Raw genomic sequence first — 23,904 nt, 5'->3', positions numbered from 1 at the left:
TTTTTAAAAGAACTCTAGGGACTCTAATGTATAGACAGAATTAGACCTGCTGAGTTAGTATGTAGGGTTCCTCAGCCTGAGCACTATTTTGGGCTGGATGAGTCTTTGCTGTGGGGGGTCTCTCCTGTGCATGGTAGGAGGTTGAGCAGATCCCTGATCTCTGTTCACTAGATGGTCAGGGGCAATGCCCCAGCTGTGACCACTGACAGTGTCTCCCTAGGAGGGAAAATTGCCCTGGTTGAGAACCACTGAGTTTAACAATAAAGGATGGAGGAAAGAGGCTATACTGACTCCTGAAACTCAAGGTATAGTCCCCAGACCAGCACCACTGGGGAGGTTGTTAGAACAGAAGAATGCCCCCCCACTTTGGAATCCTCATTTTATCAAGATCCCCTGTGATGTGTGTGCAAAGCTTGAGAAGGACTGCCAGGTCACAGGCATTTTTTTCTTCCTGGAAATACTTATTTACAGGGTTAGTTTATTAAAAGAGCAATTGACCATCTGAATCTTAAAAAATATGAGACCAGAGTCATAGAATGTCAAGGTGAAAAGGACCCTGGAAAGGTCACTTCAATCTCCTGACAGGAAGATGGAGATGGTGGTTTGGCTCACAGAAGCAGAGCTTGCTCAGGCCAAGTGACTGGCAGGGCAGGCAGGTGAGAAGATGAAGGTGTTCCCGAGGTGGGCCTTGTTGGGTAGAATGGGTGGAGGTAAGGAGGGCAGAATGAAAGGAAACCTTAATGATGTCCTAATCAGGGAGTGGGGTGAGTGAGCTGGCTGCTGTTACTGAGAAAATGCACTTCTCAAGTACTTTGCCCTTCTAGACACCTCCCAAATGGCATTCCTGCCAGACCCTTGCTTCCTGGTATATGAACAAGGGTTGCCTCTTGGTGGGGCAAGGGCTGCCACAGAAGCGTGAGTGAGAAGGGGACCCAGAAGCGAGTCCCAGCCTGCAGGGCACAGCCTGTCACCACACCCACCGCAGGGCTGGTGGGGCAGAGGGCAGGCCTGCCTGTTGGCATGCTACTCTGGCTTTTGAAAGGCCAGTTCCTGGAGTTTCCTCCAACCTCCCCCAAATGTTTGTGCAGATGATGGCTGCTGGGCTGTCACTACCAAGGTTAGCCTCCAAGATGGGAAAAGTCACAAAAGAGCAGGCTGTGAGGGACGCTGTGGAAAGGGACCATAATAATGGGTGGGATGGGATGGGATGTTGGCCATGGGGGTATTTCTCTAAATTAGCACCCCCCCTCCCATCACTCTCCTCTTTCTCTGCCTTTTTTCCCTCCTCCATAGCACCTATGGCACCTGGCATTATTTTAGACATTCACTTGTTAACCTGTTTATTACCTGGAGTGTGACCCCCCTTCTCTGCTAGACTCATGTTCCATGAGGACAGGGCCTTTGCTTCCCAACTGAATCCCCAGGGCCGAGGACAGGGTTTGGAGTACACTGGCACCCCACAAATATTTGGGGACTAACAGAATAAACGAGTGAGCAAATAGGTAAAGAACCAGGTTTATTTTAATGACGATGGGAGGAACCACCTCTTCCTTCTTCCTCTCCCTCTGACAACTTGAGTCACTGCATTTTTACAAAGCTACTTGTGGTTTCCCTAGTAAAGAACCAAGAGGAATACCTCAATTTTCCTACACCTGGGAGGCAGTTCTATTGATTGGATTCATTCTCTTCTCTTTCAAAGACATTAAAACTGTCTGTATTAATACCTCTGATTTCTTCTAAGAGTTCAGCTTACCAAATGCTTTCATTTCTTCCTTCAACGATATATTCAGTGAAAGAATATTTGTTGAGTACCTGATATCTGCCAGGCAATGTGCTACATGCTGGGACAGGAAGGTAAGCAAAACTATTATCTGAGCCATGCACACCTGGGCTATCTTGGTAAGGTGGGTGTTAGTATTCCCATCTTACAGGGAAGGAATTGTCAGAGTGGCCCCCTCCTGTATCTGGTAGATGGCTGCTCCACAGAAGCCTTAGGAAGAGCAAGCCTGGGACTCACCACTGGAGCTGGTTTCAGAAAATGAGAGAAACAAATGCCTTCTGATAACTGAAGGAAGGCTGCACATGTTAGGAATCAGGAGAGGAGTCACCTGAGGCCACCTGTGCACAGGGGGAGGGGACAAATGGAGACATGCTCTTCCTCCTCCTGGAGCTCTTTCCTGCTAAGTGCAGGTGGAAGGGTGGAGAGTGGGAGTGCAGGGGAGGGGCTGGAAGGCACAGGAGGATTGATGGGGAGGATAGCAGCAGCTCTGCAAGAATGAAATCAGTGTGTCTTTGCTGAGTGCATGGTATAGAAATGGATCTTCACACACATGCATGCCCAAACACACACACACACACAAGCACATTTCACATTTTTACTGTATGGGGACTGAAAATGTTTTAATGAGACTGTAGAAAGCACAGAGCAAAACATACAGGCAATCATTCATTCATTCGATTTGGATTTGGAAGAGTCACTGAGTATCTTTCAGGAGCCAGGCATGGTGCAGGACCCTGGTGGAACAGTGTTCAACGGCAGGTTCAGATATAGGCCAAACTAATCAATATCATTAGGGTGGGGATTTTTATCCCACCTCAGGAGGACCAGGAGGGCTTCCAGGGGGAGGTGAGGCCTGGCTGGGGCCTGAAGGATGAGCGGCAGTAACCAGGGAGAGAGTTTAGTGAAGGTGGGGCTAGGGGAGGAATTGTAACCTAGATCTTGGTAAGGGTAGCCATGGACCAGCAGCATTGCCCCAGAACTCGTCAGGAAGGCCCACCCCAGACCTACAGAATCAGAATATGCATTTTAAGAAAATCCCCATGTGACTCACATACACATTCAACTCTGAGAAGCCCTGACCTAGATAATTCTGTGCAAGGAAAATCTAGTGAGACTTGAAGGCAAGAGAGAGTTCAGGGCCAATAGAGGAAAGTGCCCATGAGCAAGAACAAAGAGAGAAGTTGTAGACCATTGTTCTAGCCCCTTCTCTCCCTCCTACGTCAACAAGACTGCGATTTAAGTTTCCTGACTTTCACTCATTTCAGTATTTTATCGTCTTTTTCCTCCGTTTATTGATGCCCTAAGTTTTGAGTGAATGAAAATGAAATCCATAAACAAGGCATTGATTTAGTGATTCATAGGAGAGAATGTGGCTCTTGTTTCAGCGGGTAGTTTAGTGTTCAGGGCCAAGGATGCAAATTTCTATTTGAATGTTTCCTCCTTACCTACACACAGGTCAGCTGACCAATGAAAGAAGGGATGCCCTTAATGCATAAAAGTTCACAGAAGGAAGATGGTAACTCAAACTTGAATCATATAAAACATGGGCCAAGGAAATGAAGCGACAGTGCACAAGGTTGGTGAATACAGAATAAAGAAATAATCTTACAACTGAAATAAGTATATGCCTCTGAAATTCCCAAGGATTTAATAAGTAATAAGATTCGTACAAGTCAGTTGACCAATTTGGACATCCTGACTGGAAAGGCACCCAGCAAAGCACTGAGCGATAGAGCCTCTGTTTTCTATAACACATGATACTGTCTGTTCTAGCTACCCAGTGAGGTTGCTGAAAGGATTAAAGGGAAAAGCAAAAGTGCAAGGACAAGTATGGAGATAACACAGGAGCATGCCCTGACCTGACACTGCTCAATCAAAACATTAAGTGGTATTGCAATGGTTGCTGTGAAGTAGTGTGTCCGGAATTGGTTCCTTCCTGTGGGTTCTTGGTCTTGCTAACTTCAAGAATGAATCTGTGACCCTCGCAGTGAGTGTTACAGTTCTTAAAGATGGTGTGTCCGGAGTTTGTTCCTTCAGATGTTCAGATATGTCTGGAGTTTCTTCCTTCCTGTGGGTTCGTGGTCTCGCTGGCTTCAGGAGTGTAGCTGCAGACCTTCACTGTGAGTGTTACACCTCATAAAGGTGGTGCAGACCCAAAGAGTGAGCAGCAGCAAGATTTATTGCAAAGAGTGAAACAACAAAACTTCCACAGACTGGAAGAGGACCCCAGCTGGTTGCCGCTGCTGGCTGGGGTGGCAGGCTTTCATTCCCTTATTTGGCCCCACCCACATCCTGCAAATTGGTCCATTTTACAGCGAGCTGATTGGTCCATTTTACAGCGAACTGATTGGTCCATTTTACAGAGTACTGATTGGTCCGTTTTTACGGAATACTGATTAGCTAGACACAGAGCGCTGATTGGTGCATTTACAATCCTTTAGCTAGACAGAAAAGTTCTCCAAGTTCCCTTCTCCAAGTTCCCTACATGACCCAGAAGCCCAGCTGGCTTCATCTCTCAGTAGGAGGTGGGACTTGACTCTGTAGAGCTTGGACACCAAACCAAGATGAAGGACTAGATTAAGGACTAGCTGAAACAGGAAAGAGGCAAAAGCCCCTCTCCGTAAGACCTGCCCACCAGTGCCATGTCAGTTTACCATTGCCAGGGAAACACCTGAATGTTGCCGCCCCTTTCCATGGCCATGACCCAATGACCAGGAAGTTACCACACTATTTTTAGAAATTTTTGCATAATCCACATTTTAATTTGCATATAATTAAAAGTGGGTATAAACGTGACCACAGAACTGCCTCTGGGCTGCTACTCTAGGCACACTGCCTACAGGGTAGCCCTGCTCTGCAAACAGCAGTACCTCTGCTGCTGCTGTGCACACAGCCACTTCAATAAAAGCTGCTGCCTAACACCATCAGCTCACCCTTGAGTTCTTTGCTGGGCGAAGCCAAGAACCCTCCTGGGCTAAGCCCCAATTTTAGGGCTCGCCTGCTGTGTATCAGCCATGCGGAATCTGGGGTTTCTACTCTTTAACAACTCTAAGTTGAGACATCATCATTTTCCTAGCATGGCTTAACACTCGTTCTGTCTGAAAAGGGGCATCAGACTGAATCACCTCCCTCCATTCCTCATGTGTTCAAGCCATGTCTGTTGAGCATCTATTAAGTTCTAGGCAGGGAAGATTTGGCCGCCCATGGCAGCTGGCATGGCCAGGATTTGTGCTGGTTGCTCAGAGTCTGTTGTGTGGCCAGTGCTGACAGAATTTGATGGTCATTCTTGACTCTAGGTTCAATGCTAGAATTCAGAGTCCCTAGAGACTGGAGTGCAGCAGGTGTGTGGCGGGAGAGGTAGATTCGAGTCAGACTGGGGCTGGCCTTGACTGGTTGAATTTGCATTTTCTCCTGTAGGCTGCAGGGAGCCATGGGAAGTGTTTAGGCTGGTACTGGCACAATCCATGGAGAAGTGGTATCAAGGTGGGAGAGGATAAAGGCTGGGAGATAAATAAGAAAATAACTAACTCAAGATCAGAAGACAGATCATTAGAACAATCCCAGTGAAGGTGCAAAGATTGGAGCTGTTTAGGGGGCAGAACCAAAAGGATTCATGACCAGTCAGGTATGGGGAGTGAAGGGAACGGAGGAGGCAGGAATGACTCAGGCTTCCATCCCAGGCTATGGGGGCCGGGGCACCATCCACCAAGACAGGGAGTGGAACAGGAACGAGATCAAATGTGGGGCCAGGAAGATGATAATAGGCTGATTTATATTTTGATTGGAAAAATGATATATTTTTAGGAAATACAGACTTTTTCCAAGAATATTTTAGATTACTTGTAATTTTGTTAACCTCACTTCTTTGACTTGTTGGTACATTTATTTCTGGTCTTTGGTCTTTTTTCTTTTCTCTGTGTGTGTGTGTGTGTGGGAAGTGTGCATTCAAAATTGTGCATCACACTGCATAGACAGTTTATATTTTTTCTTTTAATAATAATATTATTTCCTGACCTTAAAATGGTTAAAGTCTATTTTTAATGGCTACTGAATAATCCACCCTATGGGTGTGTAACAATTACTCGATTTCTTTACTGTTGGACACTTAGATCACCTCAATTTTTTTCCACCTTGAATAACACAGCTGCGAGCATTTCTGTAATAAATCATTATCCAAGTTTCAATAAAAAGTTAAAAACATTTAAATAACCAAACTAAAACATTCCTGTAGAAAAAAACCTTAAAATGATACAAAAAACATACAATGAGTACTGAAGGGCAAAATATATCCAATAAAAACTTCCAGTGTAAACATCACATATAAGTTAGCAACTGCTCCCTTCTCCTGGAAATCCCAGAAGAACAACAAGAAAAATGAAACAAAACAAAACGAACCACAGATCCCCAAAGGCTGCATTTCCAGTGAAACTCGGGGGCAGAGGGAGGCGCAGAGGGCAAAGAATGTGCAGGAGCTGCAACCCTGGGGCGGGGCGGAGAGCGTGGGGAGGGGACGAGGGGACGAGGAGACGGGGGTGCTAGTGGTCAGAGGGTTCGGCAGCGCCCAGCCTCAGAAGGCACCAAAAACATTCCCTAGTGAGGAGCTCAGCACGAAACGTCAAAGCCGTATCCCTCCTTCTCACAGTGGGAATGGAAAAGCAGGCAAGCGGGGCTGCAGGGCAGTGGGGTTCATGGACACTGAGTCAGAAGAGTTAGGCTCTGCAACCGTACACGCACATGCTCCGGTTCCCAGAAGACAGACTGTCTCCCTGGCCGCAGAGACACGGGGACTATTGGAAGACACGCCTGGAAGGTTGGGTGGAAACTGGAAGGCCGCCCACACCCTCTGCGCTTGTGGAGCCTCCTGTGAATAGCTGGTCCATCATTCCATGGTGAAAGAGGGAATTAATAGGAAAAGAAATAAAGGGATGGGTACTTCCTAGGATGCCACTGCAAACAACCACAGAGCGAGGTCTGGAGACTTCATTCCAGTCAAGGAGTAATTCACACCAAAGGCATTAAATGTTTCAAAGCGAAGCACTTTGCCTTATTTTTTAAAGGAGAGATTCCTAGGTCTATAACACATAATACGTACGGACAAAGCAATACAGCAGCAATGTTTATAACACAGAGATTAGCTGAGTGCAACAGAAACAGATAAAAACACATTGGTAGTAGGCGTCAGTTCTCTCAGTCCAGGACAGATCACATTAAAGAGTAAAGATATGGCAAAGCTACACAGCATAATAGAATAGCATCAATGGATATAGTTCAAATTATCTACCACGAAGGAAAGAATGCACCTTCTTTTCAAGCACCCATAGAACATGCAAACTGGTCTGTGCTGAGCCATAAAGAAAATCTCAAGTTCCACATCCTGGACCTGTTTCCCCAACCCCGGGCCGTGGACTGGTACCGGTCTGTGGTCTATTAGGAACCAGGCTGCACAGAAGGAGGTGAGCAGCCTAGTTCCTAACAGCAGGAGGTGAGCGAGGGAACATTACCGCCTGAGCTCCGCCTCCTGCCAGATCAGCGGAGGCGGCATTAGATTCTCATAGGAGAGCAATCCTGTTGTGAACCGCGCAGGCGAGGGATCTAGATTACAGGCTCCTTATGAGTATCTTAACTAATGCCTGATGATCGGAGGTGGAACAGTTTCTTCTCAAAACTATCCCCCACCTCCCACCCGTGGAAAAACTGTCTTCCACTAAACCGGTCCCCGGTGCCAAAAAGGTTGGAGACCACTGTTATAGACCACACTTATAATCACAGGGCAACTCGAGTGGAAATTACCAGAAAACAAAAAGCACCTTCCACTAAAAAATTTCAAAAATGTCTCTTAAACTCCTCTTTGGTGAAAGAGAAAATAAACAGAAGAAATGTAGACTTTTTAGAAAATAAAGACATATCAGAATATTTGAAAAACAATTACATCAGTGCGTAGAGGAATATTTATTGCCATAAATGCTTATGCCAGTGTAACAGAATGAAAACAAGTGAATTATCAATCAAAACTAAACAAGGCAAAAGTAATAAAAACAAAAACAAAGTAATAAGAGCATTAAATAGTAGAACTAATGAATTAAACCTTTAGGAAAAAAATTCTTAATAAAATAGATAAGTCATGAGCTAAGAATTTGAGAGAGAGAGAGAGTGTGTGTGTGCATAAAAACATACAATATAGGAAATCAGGGAAAACAACTATAAAAGCAGGAGAAATTTAAAAAATCATAACACTGTTCTGCTTAATTTGGAAACTTAGATGAATAATTTTATAAGAAAATATAATTTATCAAAACTGATACAGTAGAGATAAAAAATCTGAACAGATTATTTCCGTAGAAGACAGAGAAACTCATCAAGGCACTGCCTCTCAAAATAACACCAGGACCAGAGAGTGTCTGAAGGGAATTCTACCACATTTTTAAAGAGTACATAATGCCATATCTAGAGCCTAGAAAAAAGGAAAAACATCCAAATTATTTCTATGAAGCAAACAGTGACACTTGACATACAACACTGACAGAAAAAGAAAACTACAGACCAACTAAATTTGCAATTACAGTTAGAAAAATGCTAAATAAAGCATAATCTTAAGCACATTAAAAGATATCATGACCAAACAGAAGTTATTCTAGAAATGCACATGATTCAATATTAGGATGTCTAGTAATATAATTCAACATGTTCTTAAATCTATTCAATAAATCAGATGTCTTCCATAGATGATGAAAGACATCTAATAAAATTGTAAAACTTTTAATAAAATTCTCAATCAAATAGAAATAAATGGCTATTTCCTCAACATAATAAGTTATATATCTCTCAGCCACTAGTACCAGTTTAAAAAGCTAGGAACAAAATTTTTAAAATGCCCATTACTATTAAACACTATGCTACAGGTACCGGACAATGTAATTAGATAGGAGAAAGAAAACAGAGGTCTAAAATTAGAAAGAATGAAGAAATACTATGGGTATTTGCATATGATACAATTGTATACCTGGACACTCCAAAATACCTGAAAAATCTCAAACAAAATAATTTACTATGAAACACAGTAAGAATTAATACATAGAAATCACCAGTTTTCGTATTCACAAACAACAACCAGTTAGGAGATTTAGTGGAAGAAAAGGCCTCATTTGCATTAACAACCAAAAAGATCAATACCTACAAATACATTTAATAAGAAATTGGCAAGATAGCAATCAAGGAAACTTTAAAATGCTCTTAAGGAACAAAAAGGGAAAAACTAACAAATGGAAACACACTTCCCCTTCTTAGACAGGATAATTCAACATCAGAAAGGTGTCAAGTCTCCCTAAGTTAAATTATAAACGTATGTGATCCCAATAAAATTACAATAAATATTTGTTAGGGGAGTGTATAACAGCTGATTTAAATGCTCATATGAAAAAATAAAAATATCCATGGAAATTTTGAAATAGAAGGGTAATGTGAATGAAGCAGCCATGATGGCTAGTATTAATTTTTAAACTATAATACAGCCTAGTGCTGGCAAGTGCTTGGACAGACAAGAGGAAGAGAAGTGTAAGTGGAAAAATAAAGTCAAAAAAGAAGCCCAAACACACACAACGATTAAGTGTGTGATAAAGTTTCATGTCAAACCAATGGAAAGGATGAATTATTTAAAGAATAATGTTGGAACAACAGGGCAAACCATTCAACAACTGGGTAAAATCATACCTCACATCTTGCCTGAGCATACATTCCAAACAGATTAAAGTGTTAAAAATCAAATCATAAATATTCTAAAAGAAAACAGGAAAGGGTTTCTTTAGAAACTTGGAGTTGGGAAGCCCTTTCCAGTGGACCCAAATCCATTATCCTTATTAAAACATGTTTAGCATATTTGAATGTATATATGTATGCACTTTTTTTCAAAGGCCAAAACAAAAAACCAAACACAGGCAAAGTCAAAAGATACAACAAACTGGAAAAAGAATTTGCAAATTTTAATCTATTTTTTTTTAAATTAACCATCACATGCAGTGCGTCTGTGACAAACACTATACCAAGTACTTTACAAAATTAGCTCAGCTAATTAGTATACCAACACTGTGATGTAGTACTACTGCTCGTCCCATATCGCAGCTGAGAAATTGAAGCAGAAAGAGGTTAAGTAATTTGCTAAGGTCACACAGCTAGTATGTGCCTAATAGGTAAAGAGGCCCCCCATTCATGACAACAGGACATCCCACATCCTTGAGAATTAAGGTATCAAGAAATAGGCATGGAGCTACATAAAATAAACTCTACCGAGGGACATATAATGACTTAAACATGGAAGTATACCTTTCTTTTGAATTAGAAGGCTCAGTATTGTGAAGAAGTAAATTTTCTCTAAATTCATTTATAAATTTAGTGAAACTCCAAAACAAATCTCAAAAGGAGAATTTAAAGAAAGTTGTTCAGTATTTCTAAAGGATATCTAGATGAACACATTTGTGATAATATCACGTAAGATGATTAACTGGGGGAGACTGGCCAGCTACACATTAAAGATCACATTAATAAACAATAGTAACAAAAACTGCAGGCACAGATGCAAAAACAGACACATAGATGGGATCAGGAGAGTCTGGCAATGGGCCCAATCTATGTAGGAATTTAGAAAATGCTCAGATTGCCAATTACTAAATCAATGGAATCAAGGCTATTGGCTGACCAGATAACAAACAGAGCATGAATATACAATTTGGAAATATGCAAGCAACCATCAAGGCAAACAGAAGATTTGGTGGAGGAGGAACTACCACTACACAGTAGGACCTTGAGGTGGGGAGAAGTGAGGCAGTAGACACCTCGTGATAAGCTTCTTGAAACTATTTAATGTTTAATAATGACTAACTGTATGCATTAGTTAGGGTTCTCCAGAGAAACAGAAACAGAACATATATAAGATGAAACAGAATATCTATCTATCATTTATTTATCTATCTATCTATCTATCTATCTATCTATATCATTCTCTAGAGAGATTGACTAAAAAGAATTGGCTTACATGATTATGGAGGCTAAGAAATCCAAAGATCTGCAGTTTGTAAGCTGGAGACCCAGGAGAACAAATGGTGTAAGTTACAGTCCAAAAGCTGGCAGGCTACAGACCCAAGAAGAGCTGGAGTTTCAGTCTGAGTCTGAAGGTAGAAGGCTCATGTCCCAGGTGAAAGCAATCAAGCAGGAGGAGTTTGGGCTTGTAAAATGATCAGGTGTTTTAAATTCTATTTAGGCTTTCAAGTGATTGGATGAGGCCCACCTGCCTTAAGGCAATCTTCTTTACTCATTCTACCAGTTTAAATGTTAATCTCATCCAAAAATACCCTCACAGACACACTGCTATGAGCTGAATTGTGTGCCCCCAAAAATCCTAGCCCTCACCCCAATGTCACTGCATAAGAGATAGGGCATTTAGGAAGTAATTAAGGTTAAATGAGGTCATAAGGATGAGATCCTAATCCAATATGATTGGCAACCCTATGAGAAAAGAAAGAGCAACAGAGAGATCTCCATGTTCACACACCAAGGAAAGGCTATGTGGGGACACAGGAAGAAGGCAGCTGCCTGCAAGCCTGGAAGAGATCCCTCACCAGGAGCCTACTGAATCTTGATGTTGGACTTTCCAGCCTCAAGGACATTAGAGAAAATAAAATTCTGTTTTTTTAAGCCACCCAGCCTATAGCATTTGTTATGGTGGCCTGAGTTAATATACACATCTAGAATAATAATTGACCAAATATCCTGGCACCCTATGCCTCATTCAAGTTGACACATAAAATAAACCATTACAACGTATTACTTGAATACAAAATAAAATTAATTTAAACATCCTTAAGCCATCTCCTTTATGTATGAGTCCTAATTTGAGGGTAATAGATTAGTGTGAATTTCATGTACTTACTACACTCTTAAATTCTATACTCTCACATCCATATATGATATTTCCCTTTAAAAATCAATGAAATATTGGCATATTCAGCAAATTGCTTTTTTTGCTCTATACCCTATCCCATTTTGTCCATATTTCTATCTCTTTAGGAGAGATTTCTAAAGAAAGTATTGATGTAAAGATGACTTGGCTATTTTTTAGGGCTCTTTGAAATGATTGTTTTGATTTACACTTTCCATCAGCAAAGCAGAAGATGGGTGACCTCTTGGACATCTATTAATAATTAAAAGCTTTGTTCATTCTATCTGTAATTACTTACATATTATGCATACATTAATAAGATTGAACACTTCTCAGTTTCTCGGCCATTTGTATTCCCACTTTGGCCAGCTGTTGGTTGACAGCCCTTGCATGTTTTTCTACTGGACTCTAACACTCTTCTATTCTTGGTGTTTGAAGGGTATCTGGGATTTGTTTTAATGAGGTGTAATAAGGCACACAGACACACAAAAGACTGTCATAAAGAAAGAAGCTCTTTGTATTCATAGATGCCTAAAAACAGAAGGCACAGCTGCCACTGAGGGCCACGCAGCAAAGCACAGGGGTAGTCAGGAGGCCGAAGGATGGGGCAAGACGGAACAGGAGGCTTTACTGTGGTTTCTGTAGGAAAGAAGGGAAGAGGCAGGGTAAGCAGGCTTAGCTTTGGCTAGTTAGAATAATTTCAGTGGCTTTGGGCAGGGAAATTGTGCCTAGTTGTCTGGTACCTGGCTCTGGGGTGATGAGGGCAGGTGGATATGGCCTGAGTGTGAGAGCTCCAGAGAGGAGGTGGATGGGTGTGCGCTCTGGATCGGGGGTTTCCATCTAAAAGGCAGGCTGCCAGGGGAGTCGTTGACTTTCTCTTAGAATTAGCCAACCCTGAGAGAGGCAGTCCTTTCAGGGTCAACAGGGCTCCAGCTATCACAGCATCAAATACAGAAAATAATACACTTGGCTTATTTCGTACAATCTGTGTATGCTGAAGACAGTAGGTCTTTTTGTTTTTACATTTTTTACTGAGATGACTCTTAAGCCTTTGGCCTGTGGCATCTCATCCTGTGGGGTGAGATTCTCCCCTCCCTGGACCTCCTGATTTCCCTGAGCCTGTCCTTGGGAGCAGCTCCGTCTTCAGACCTTGGGTTTTAAAATGTTTTTAGTACCACGTGCACCTCGTTGTGGGTTGTTCTGAGAATGAAATGGCAGGATGCGTGGCCAGAATTTGCTGTTCGATAAATGTCAGCTTCTGCCCTTATATTTGTTACAAATATTTTCCCCAATATTTTTTCCTCGTAGCATTTTGATTTTAGCATATGTAATTTTAAATCTTTAACCTTAAAAAGGCAATGGCATAATGATTGAGCTTGTGCCTGGTAACCAGACACACTGGTGTTTTGAATCTGGCTGTCATTTCCAGAAGAACCTGGAGACTTTATAGCACCTCTGTGCCTCAGTTTCCTTCCCAGTGATGGCCAAGCAGACACGTCCAGAAGGAACTTGGAGATACAAGTCTAAAAACCCAGGTAGAGGCCAGGGCTGGAAATGTGTATTTGGCGGTTGCCTCTAAGATTGAGTACCCCTCTAGCTGGCCTATTTTTCAGATTCTATAAAGCACAGAATGAAAAAGCTCTGGGATGTAGTCTACTTACATACCCATACTTGATAAAAAGCTGCTTTGTGAAAGCTACACGGAATGGGGAAAGAGGCACAAACGTTATGTATACCACAACGCTTTACAACACCACCACCTAGTGACAGACTCGTGAAAATCCCATCCGTTATGTCCCCTCCAGCTTAGGGATGGCGAAATAGGATAAATCATCTCCTTCTTACTAGAAAGCAGATACTCTACTCTGTTTCTCCAGTAACTATCACTTTACCTCCTAATGGTTGGAGATTCCTTCTTTTCTCCTCATTTGGATATTGTCAGACAAAAAGTGTCTAGTCATTGAAAGCAGCGTATATTTAAAGGATTGGCATAGCAGCTAGATCATGGCTCATGGATGATCTTCATTTCATTCACTAAGAGCTTCTGCTGTGCCCATATTGGTGCACACCCTTCTCTAGAGACTGACCACTAGACTGGATTCTTCTGGCACAAGTGATGCATTAGGCTCTGAGAGTGTGGTTCAGGATGGCGGATGGACCAGAGTGTAGTGCAGAGAAAGAGCTGGGCTGTTGGAGGGGAACAGAGCTGGGTTCCTCTCCACTTTTTAGCTGTGTTTTTCTGGGCAGGTGACTCAGAGATGGTTTCTCGTCTGTGAAATGGTAGAATGCCATCTCCCTGCAGGGTGATCATGGGAGTGACCGCACAGGCATTGCCAACCTGGTCACCCTCAGTCCCCAGGACCAAGCTAAGCCATCTGTCCCATCCTTAAGACCGCTGAAATGTGCTTACTGAGTTTCTTCTCTGCAGGTGTTTTCTTTCCACCTGTAGGGTTTCCAGACTCTAAAGCACTTTACCCTCCCCACCTTCAGCATGTTTTGCATCTTAATGATTGAGCCTGAACCCTCCCTTCCACTCCATTTTATCCTTGACATTTTCCAGGAACCCACAATGAAGGAGTGGACGTAATGGACCGCCAGACATGTGACCCAAGAGAAGTATTTACAAAACATTCCAAAAGCAACAGGTTGGGAGTATTATTTATTCAAATAAACAAAAATGTTTTATTTCCCTTTCAATGGTATATATCTTAAATTGCTGGAACATACAAGTATAAAAATAAGATTATTTTAGAAAACTCCAGTTTTGAAGGGCACGACAATAGTTCAGACATTTGTCAGTAGCTATGAAGCCACTTTTAACATGGAATGAATATCCCTTTACTCCAACTCTTGGTCTTATTACATTTTTAAATCAAATCAGCGTGCTGGAAATAGAGAAAAATTCCCAAAGGGAAATATAAAATAATTTTAAGCATTTTCAGAAATACAAGTTACACTTAAGAAACTTGTATTAAAGGATGTTAATCTGAGATAAACAGAAAACAAACGTTTTGCAAAGCACTACTTTTTGCATCTGTTTGAGGATACACAGTTTGCAGCTCTCCTGCCAGAAGCAAAATACTGACTCTAGCACAGCAGAAAAGGCATCAACTTTAAGAAAAAAATGAGTGGTCGCTTTCAATGACTGAACATAACATATTAAACTTTAAGAATTTTTAACAATGCAAATTAACAGCAATAGTAGAAAATACATCATTTTAGATTACAAAAATTCAGCTTTTATTAGCACATGACAAATCTCATTCATTCGCTGCCCTCTCATATGTGCTGAGTAACTGCTACACAGAATTTCAAACCTCACTGATATAAATGTGAGAGATGACATCTACAATGAGAAAAATGAGGGAAAAAAATCTCGTTTTATACCACTAGCAACAAAGAACACAAAATTGTATTAAATTTGTTAAGAAATGTTATTTTGTGCAATTTTCATGATAGATTAATTAGCTTTGTTCACTTTTTTTCCTCCATCTTAAAAAGAGATAATCTTTTAATGTTTTCTTAACATTTCATTCAGGAACACTAATCTTAGAAATGCGAGGCTTGTGTAAAATTTTACTTTAATAGGCACAATGTAGCAAGCGAAACCATACTCATATCAGGGAACTTGCAATGACCTCCACATATAGCACTCAACAGAAAAACATATGTCCTGACCTTTGGAGACACTTCCCTGCTTATGATATTCTTATCTGTCTGTGCCTTGTGAATAAAAATGCATTTTTATTCCAACCCAAATGAAGAAAATCCTATGGAAAAACATCAATGTCAAAGGCTAGGTTGCCAAGGACACCCAAGGTTTCTAGCCTTTTATTGATACCACGAAAGTGACAGCTGTGCCCAACTTACTGAAGTCTATATTATAAATCTGTCATTTCTAATTATAAATCTACATTGGAAAAAATATTTTACTCAGATGGCTATGTGTGAGGCACACGTGTGTTCTACACAGTTTGGACTTTATCTGGTTGGTCTTACACAAACAATTATCCATCTGTAAAGGGAACTGCTCACTTCTCAGGGCTGCCCTGATTCCCAGAGGAGAGACAGATATTTTACCATCACAGCGTTCCCCAAGATGCTGGCAGAGACACCAGGATGGCTGCTCTCACAATAGTGTCCAAGAAGTACCCGAGGCTCAACGGGGCACCCAAGCATCAGGGACCAGGTACCCGCACGTCGCTCTTGCCGTGGCTGGATTCAAATTTATCAGGAAGCTTTGTGATGTCTCTTGGCCCAGTCACTACCCACGGTGTGCTTTTTAAGCACACAAGTGTGATGTAAAAGTTACACAGTACAATTTAGTTTAGAAGCACTGGACATCTGTGTGTAATAGCTGCTGATAAGAAACCCAGAGGAAGCTCAGGGCAGGGAAGAAAATACTGGATTTATTGCTGGGAGTTACGTATCCCCAACAGCTGTGATAGATTCCAGCCACTGATGCAACCTGAGGTTCGCTGGCAGCACTAAGCAGCGTGGCTATGTTCTGCCTTCCACATTCCGCAGATGTGGCTAACAGGGTGACACCAAGAGCCCAGGGAGCCTGCTCACGTCTGAAAGCCGTGGTTTCTGCTCTGCAGCCTCACCTGGGGAGCTTACTGAAATGCAGATTCCCTGTTCCCTCCTGCACTGACCCTGAATGGGGCTGGGTGTGCTCCAGGACAAGATGGACCTTCCGGGGACGTGGAGCCTGGGGAGCAGGGCTCCCACGCTGACAGCAGTGAGACAGGAGGGAGCTCCTTTCCTGGAAGTCTCTGACAGAAGACATTCTGGAGAAAGAAGCTGTCGGATGTTCGGAATGCATGGGCTGGGCTGGCTCAGCAGAGCTGGCGGAAACGGTGAGGGCCCAGCTGCCGTGCCCCTCAACGACACTGTCAGGTAACTGCTGCCAGGAGCCTTCCAGATGCTCAGACCCCAGAAGCCACTTTACCGGCCCCCTTTGGCCTCAGTTGCTTGACCCTCCCCTACAAATTTCCAGGTGCATGACCTTGAACCTGCCTGTGTCCTGCGTGGGCCTTGAGGCATCTCTAGTTTGATTAGGACAGACGTGTTTTACACATGGCTGTCAAGCAAGTTTCTCTTGGCCTAATTGTTCCTCTGGCAAATAATCAATCCTGAGAAGTTCCTTTACAAAATACCTAAAAAGTAGACTGTGCCAAAAACGTGGGGTGAAATGAGGTGCCCACGGCATCCTGGGGACGTTCTTGGCTGATGCGGACCTCCGTGCCCCACTGCCAACTGAGGGGTGGGACCTCTCTTCTGGCTCCTTCTTGCCCTGCCCTCTTTTCAGATTCTGGAACTTCCCAGGTCCCAGCCATCCTGTACTCTCCATCCGTTGAATGAACCAATCCTTGCTCCGCGTGGGCAACACCCGGGCCACCCAGCCACAGTCTCTCTTTGTCAAAGCTGTCACTTACACATGACTCCCGCTTGAATATTCCTGAAGTTTGGAATTGGTGGATCTGCAAAATAAATCACATCTCCAATGGATTCAGCCACTTTAAGGGGAAAAGAAATCTAAGGATGGCTGGAATGAAACTGCATTTTCTTTCCTTTTTTGAGACGGAGTCTTGCTCTGTTGCCCAGGCTGGAGTGCAGTGGCGCAATCTTGGCTCACTACAACCTCTGCCTCCCCGGTTCAAGCGATTCTCCTGCCTCAGCCTCCAGAGTAGCTGGGATTACAGACAGGCATCACCATCGTTGGCTAATTTTTTGTATTTTTAGTAGAGACGGGGTTTCACCATGTTGTCCAGGCTGGTCTCAAACTCCTGACCTCAGGTGATCCACCTGCCTCGGCCTCCCAAAGTGCTGGGATTACAGGCACGAGCTACCGTGCCTGGCCTAAACTGCATTTTCTAAAAAAATATGTACTGCTTATTTTGTTAGCATACTTTTAATTATATTCTTATTCTTTCTACCCCTCTCAAAATGTATTTTTCCAGCTTGCCATTTAATTGGTAAACAGCTGTAAAGTTCAAACGTGAAATTCTTAAAGCTCCCTAGAGACATACACAATAACTTCTGTGGCATGGACTTTTCTCGGCATTAAAAAAATCTAGTACCTCTCTTGGCCAGAACCCCTAATTTTACACTTTATGGTGTTGCGTCGTTTTTCAAAAAAAACAAAACAACAACCAAAAAACTTACTGGCAAGTTTTTCCTCCAAACAGTTTTCTAATCAAGTCTAATAAGTTTGTGCAAGAGAAAACACATGGGGATTCCACTCCATTATTTGATTTCCACTAATCAGGATAAAGTCTGTGAAATTCAATTACTGTTGTTTGTGGAACAGACTGTTGAACAACGATTTATTCCCAATGATATCGAGTGGCACTAGTCCAGAACTTAGAACTGAACCACACGTGGCAGCTCCACCAAGCAGGGACAGGGAAAGAGGAATTTAACAAGTTTGCACCCGGCGTATTAAATAATTAAATCCCTCTTCACCTCTTAAATGAAATGATGGAATCCCCAACTCACAATTGCTTTTCAAAATCTATTACCCAAAGCACTGCGGAGTCACTAATGCTGTCTTCCTGGGAACTACTTTCACAATTTTGAACAGTAACTGACCCCAAATTTATCTCCAACCAAAACCTCTGTGTTTCACCATGAATCAGGCAAGGTCCTTCCAAGTGTTCAGAAGTGGAACCTGTTGTGGAAAAACACTCCCCTCGGTCACACACAGGGCATCTGTTTCTTGAGTGCTAAGTACTTGGTTTTGGTTCAGGAGAAATACAAAATAGTGTACAGTATATGCTGGGAGATCGGACACCAATCACTTGTGGCTCTTTCAAATTCCCAAGAATAAAAATAGAATTGGTCCCCATCTTGTTTCTTGCTATTTTTAATAAATGGTTTCAGTTACTGAAGGCAGGATTTATTTCAGACTTCCAAAGAAGTTATCAAGGAAATAAAGCAGCATCTATTCATTTCCCATCAGACTTGACAAGGTTTCTGATAACAACCTAATGCTAAGTTGCACCTTTTCAGGCAAGGACCGTCTTCCAGAATTTTCCACAGTGTATTACAAGGTAAAAATGACACCCTCAAAGGGTTGTTAATTCCTTTCCTGTTCCAAGCAAACCTCCTTGAAAGCTTGCCAAGCTAAGCATCAATTTGCATAACTGGAGGAGGTGGGTGTCACTAACAGGGTTTTGACTGGAAGTCCGATTCTCAGCAGCAAGACATGCCAGAAAAATGTCCCACATTCAATTGTCTATCTCATTCTTGTTGCGAAGTTATGCTTTTGTAGTTTCAGTATTTTCATCAAAATGTCACATCCAATGACATGCGATATGAAAAGATAAAGAAATCTGATATGAAATACAGAGCATGACGGCAAACTTCATTCACCTACTCTACCTGGAAACCTCACTTGTTACTTTCCTGTATTTTAAGAACTATGCCTGTTCATCTGCTGCAGGAGGAAGCTCCCCGCCTCTGAAACCTAACACAATACAACGGAACAGAAGATGCCTGTATGAAGAAATAAGCAGGAAAACTAATCAGGGCATGTCTGCGATTCCCTCCTCTTATTTCAGGGCTTTGAATTTTTCACAGCAAGGGTGAAGGCACAATCTAGGGGTGTTGGCTTCACTCCTGTGCAAAGCGGCCCACAAAACAGCAACCACGGAAAAAGCCAATGGGATGAGAATTGGACTTCCAGACATCTCTCCGTGTGAAATGCATTCTGAGATTATGAGTTTTCAACAAGCTGAGAGCGGATGTGACAACGGGCCCTGATACAAGAGCCCCCTCCTCCCGTTCCGTGCCGTCATGTTCTTTCCAAGAGGCTGCAACTCAAATCTTCTCTAGTGAAAACAGCACAGAAGGTTCTTCTGGCTGCTGGAGAGTCTTCCAGGACACCATGACAAGCCGACGTGGCCTCCACGTCTCTTTGGCAGAGTCCTATATTTCTCAGTATGGTGGTGACCCGGGGACCCAGGGAGCAGAGCAGATGGCTGAAACATCCACACGTAGCCTACTGTGAATACAAACGATACTTCTGCAGGAGGGGACACTTAGCACTTTTGGTGGAATTCTGTAATATAGCCAACCCACCCCAAAAAAATGCAAAGGGAACACTGAACTTGGCACACAAGCAGGAGAGAGGGGATACTGTCTTTTAACTCTTCTCCTAATGACATCAGGTCATATAAGGCTATGTCAAGGAAACGGCTTCCACTTTTCTTTGGCAAAGGCCTCGATAAGTGACAGAAAGTAGGGACTGCCCCCCGAAATAAGGCTACCACTGCACAACTGTTACCAAAGATTAAACACCCCCAAAGGAAGAAGCACAGAGGTCAACTGCTGAACAATTTAAGCTGATTGGATGGGTATGCTTGAGGCTAACCAGTTCTGCAAAGGGAAACACACGGTTTCGAAGCACGGGGATAAGTAGACGTTACCTTGTGTCTTCTGCACATCTTGCATCTTCCTTCCCTGACAGCTGGTCAGAAATAGGGGCATCAGGCCATTTCCCTGTTTCCCAACAGGGTAATAGCCAACCTACTTCCAGAGAAGATTTGGAAAAAGAGACAACTAAGCTAGTGAAATAGAATAGTTTTTTCTCATCAAAACATGATTTATTAATTTTAAGCAAGAGTAAGCATATGTGATAGTGGCCAGCTTGGGGATAGAACTCTTCCTGGTTGATGCACAGTTCAGCACCTGTTGGGTCTTGGCTGTTGGGATGATAATTCTTTTGGGTGAGGGGAACAGCCGTGGTCAAGGCTGCCTGCACCCCCATCCAGGCACAGGACCCTGGGCAAAGTCTCAAAAGAGGTAGTGTTTTTACTTTCGCACCAACAATACAACATAAGTATTGGGTACAAAAGAGGAGATTTCCTTCCCCTCTACCTCAACGGGCAAAAGGCCTTCCATCTTCAGAAGAGGCTTGTGAGGACCATCGGTTGATGACCTCCTAGTGAATTCTGGCTCCCATTCAGAGCACAGAGAAACCCACAAAAGGGGCCTGTGGCTCTGGTTCCAGGTCTCAAGGGTACAGCTTGGTTACATCCCCAGGCCCCAGGCTGATTCTCCTGCCATCATACTGCAAGCCTTCCTGTACCACTTTGACCCAGGTTGAGGTCTGGCGGAAAATAACCTCAAAGGCAATTAATACAAAAAGCTTCCTGTAAGCTAAGAGGGGTTATCAACTATATGTACTTATTTTTCCAGAGATTGAAGAGAGAAGAGAACGAGCCAAGGCTTGGTTTTGTTTTATGTTGGTGGCACATGTAGACACTTTGGCATAACGAACCCCATAGAGCCTGCAGCCCAATCCACTCTGTTTTGGTTTAGAATGAAGTTTTTTTTTTAATTATTTTTCTTGGAAGTAGGGAGGATTTGAAAGCTTGAAAATCAAGAATCAAAAGACAGTGAATCTAGAAGGCATCTGGGAGCAGAACAGAGATTGAAGACGGGTGGGCACAGGAGAAAGCGCCACCATCGATCCCGGCTGCTGCCCTGGAAATGTGATTTTCTTAATAGCTGAGTTCATGGTTGCTTGAGGTCAGGCCTGGCTATTCATTTCCAGCGATGTCTGACCAGAGAGGACTCATCATTGACGACCTCAGGGTCACGGGGGCGACGCTGACACCGGAACGGCAGCAGCAGCAGGACGATTAAGACAAGGAGGATGGCTCCACAGACGCTCATGAGCGCATAGGACACAATCCACAAAATGGGCTCGCTCAAAGACTGAGCGGGGACACAGTTGCTGGCTACATCCTCTGTTGAGAAAGGCCCGGAAATTTCAGACACTGCAGCACCTGCAATTTCTGGGGAGACAGAAAGGGAAAATCCACAGCTGTGAAATGAGCGGTCCACCTCTCACATTGGACACAGACAGAACCCCTTGGTTTATTAAACCACAGTTAAAGTCCACTGAGGTCCCAGTGGCTTAGACAGCTCAGGAAGCACTGAGTGGGGTCACGGCTCAGCGTGCCTTTGGGGGTCCAGTCCCTGCAAACTGGAACGACGGCATGTTTTAAGGTGTGTGGGTACCGAGCCTAGGTGTGGAGGGGAACTGCAGCAGGGCACATATGGAAGCACCCTGTGCTTCATGGAATGCCAGCGACACTGCGGTACTACACAGGTGAGAGTGCAGGTCAGCACCTGGTCATGACAGCTGTGTGGGTTGTGCTTCCTCAGTGGAGATGAAAAAAGAGGAGAAAGAGAAGGAGAATTTACCGCAGAAAGCTCAGCTGGACCTGCCTACGTCATGGGGAATTTTCCCCAGTGGAGTCAACCTGAGTTCACTCCCTACCATGGATTCTACAACAGATAGGGACCTCATATCAACCTGACTCATAGTCTTAGTGGGTTGTGAGACCTCCGGGGGTCAGGCTGGCTTGAGAGACCCTCCCTGCCCCACTCTTATCCTAGGTCTCATCAACAGCCAGGAGCAGTAAGTGAATGCAACACCTAATTCATGACATCACTGGTGACAAAGAGAAACAGTTAAAATTCACCCGGTGACTTCTGCTAGAGACTCTTGAATAACTTCAAACCAAGAAGGAAGTTGAGATGATTTCTTAAAGCCGGTTTGTGGATTATCTGTAGACTTCCTTTGCCTACACTAGGCTTCTCTGCCCCTTTCAGGAATATGGGATCTTAAGCTTTACTTGCAATACGGAAAAGAAATAGGCCTCATTACCCATTTTTCCTATATTTAATCACAGAAATGAATATTTTGGCACCAGAAAATAACACTGCTAAGAATTTGATTTTTCTGTAACTAAAGCCTCAAGATCTTCAGAGCTGCCAAATAATACCCTTTTTGACTGAGGAAAGAAAAAGTCAAAATAACAATGCGATAATGACCTGAAAAGAATGGTTTTAAAATCAGAGGAAAACAGGCTTGATTACTTTGCAAAGTGACTGCATTTTCTTGCTAATGTGGATTCTGTCATAATATGGCTTTCCTAAGTGCACTGAAAAAGAAAGGCAATGAACAAGAGCCTGCCAACACCGAGAACAGAGGGATGCACCCTGCAGTCAATCTATACTCCCATTTCCTGGTTTGTAGATAATGATCTTCTTGCTGTGTCTTTACATGGTGGAAGAGACAAGGGAGCTCTCTTGGACTGTCTTTAATAATGGGCAGTAATTCCATTTACAAAGAAAAGCTCTGCCCTCGTGACCTAATCACCTTCCAAAGGCCCCAACTCCAAATATCATCACCTTGGAGATTAGGTTTCTGTTGCGGGAAGTCAGGGACCCCGAACGGAGGGACTGGCCAAAGCCATGGCAGAAGAACATAAATTGTGAAGATTTCAGACATTTATTAGTTCCTTAAATTAGTACTTTTATAATTTCTTACGCCTGTCTTTACTGCAATCTCTGAACATAAATTGTGAAGATTTCATGGACATTTATCACTTCCCCAATCAATACTCTTGTGATTTCCTATGCTGTCTTTACTTTAATCTCTTAATCCCATCATCTTCCTAAGCTGAGAATGTATGCCACCTCAGGACCCTGTGATGATTGTGTTAACTGCACAAATTGTTTAAACAATATGAAATCTGGGCACCTTGAGAAAAGAACAGGCTAACAGCAATGTTCAGGGAACAAAGGAGATAACCATTAGGTCTGGCTGCCTGAGAGCCGGGCGGAACAGAGCCATATTTCTCTTCTTTCAAAAGCAAATAGGAGAAATATCGCTGAATTATTTTTCTCAGCAGGAACAGCCCTGAGAAAAAGAATGTGTTCCTAGGGGTAGGTCCCTGAAATGGCTGCTCTGGCAATGTCTGTCTTTTACGGTTGCCGATAAGGGATGAAATAAGCCCCGGTCTCCCATAGCGCTCCCAGGCCTATCAGGACAAGGAAATTTCCGCCTAATAAATTTTGGTCAGACCAGTTGTCTGCTCTCAAACCCTGTCTCCTGATAAGATGTTATCAATGACAATGCGTGCCCAAAGCTTCATTAGCAATTTTGATTTCGCCCTGGTCCTGTGATCTTGCCCTGCCTCCATTTGCCTTGTAATATTTTATTACCTTGTGAAGTATGTGATCTCTGTGACCCACACCCTATTCGTACACTCCCTCCCCTTTGAAAATCACTAATAAAAACTTGCTGGTTTTGCAGCTCAGGGGGCATCACGAACCTGCCGACATGTGATGTCTTCCCTGGACACCCAGCTTTAAAATTTCTCTCTTTTGTACT

General features: G+C 43.1%; 1 protein-coding gene across 4 annotated transcripts in view, besides 4 other annotated features; it reads right to left on the bottom strand.

The window, feature by feature from the left end:
* Positions 6,448–6,948: an enhancer, noted in NCBI's record as "H3K4me1 hESC enhancer chr21:42661864-42662364 (GRCh37/hg19 assembly coordinates)". NCBI's record gives its function as "activates a minimal SCP1, AML or CMV promoter by ChIP-STARR-seq in naive H9 embryonic stem cells {active_cell/tissue: H9 hESC(naive)}" and the evidence as "EXISTENCE:reporter gene assay evidence [ECO:0000049][PMID:30033119]".
* The window catches only part of BACE2 (beta-secretase 2), a 114,371-nt gene continuing 104,821 nt past the window's right edge, over positions 14,355–23,904 (bottom strand). For all 4 annotated transcript variants that reach the window (NM_012105.5, NM_138992.3, NM_138991.3 and 1 more), the window contains one exon: positions 14,355–21,514. In NM_012105.5, coding sequence (NP_036237.2) covers positions 21,261–21,514 — 254 coding nt within the window. In that variant the 3' untranslated portion in view covers positions 14,355–21,260. The remainder of the gene's footprint in view (positions 21,515–23,904) is intronic.
* Positions 15,939–16,493: an enhancer, noted in NCBI's record as "H3K4me1 hESC enhancer chr21:42652319-42652873 (GRCh37/hg19 assembly coordinates)". NCBI's record gives its function as "activates a minimal SCP1, AML or CMV promoter by ChIP-STARR-seq in naive H9 embryonic stem cells {active_cell/tissue: H9 hESC(naive)}" and the evidence as "EXISTENCE:reporter gene assay evidence [ECO:0000049][PMID:30033119]".
* Positions 16,494–17,049: an enhancer, noted in NCBI's record as "H3K4me1 hESC enhancer chr21:42651763-42652318 (GRCh37/hg19 assembly coordinates)". NCBI's record gives its function as "activates a minimal SCP1, AML or CMV promoter by ChIP-STARR-seq in naive H9 embryonic stem cells {active_cell/tissue: H9 hESC(naive)}" and the evidence as "EXISTENCE:reporter gene assay evidence [ECO:0000049][PMID:30033119]".
* Positions 21,113–22,312: an enhancer, noted in NCBI's record as "CDK7 strongly-dependent group 2 enhancer chr21:42646500-42647699 (GRCh37/hg19 assembly coordinates)". NCBI's record gives its function as "activates an origin of replication core promoter dependent on BRD2, BRD4, P300/CBP, MED14 and CDK7 cofactors, with strong dependence on CDK7, by STARR-seq in HCT116 cells {active_cell/tissue: HCT116}" and the evidence as "EXISTENCE:reporter gene assay evidence [ECO:0000049][PMID:35650434]".

This window comes from Homo sapiens, chromosome 21, assembly GCF_000001405.40.
Source record: "Homo sapiens chromosome 21, GRCh38.p14 Primary Assembly".
NCBI lineage: Eukaryota > Metazoa > Chordata > Mammalia > Primates > Hominidae > Homo > Homo sapiens.
Note: the sequence above shows the minus strand (reverse complement) of the source record. Positions and strands in the feature narration are given on the sequence as shown.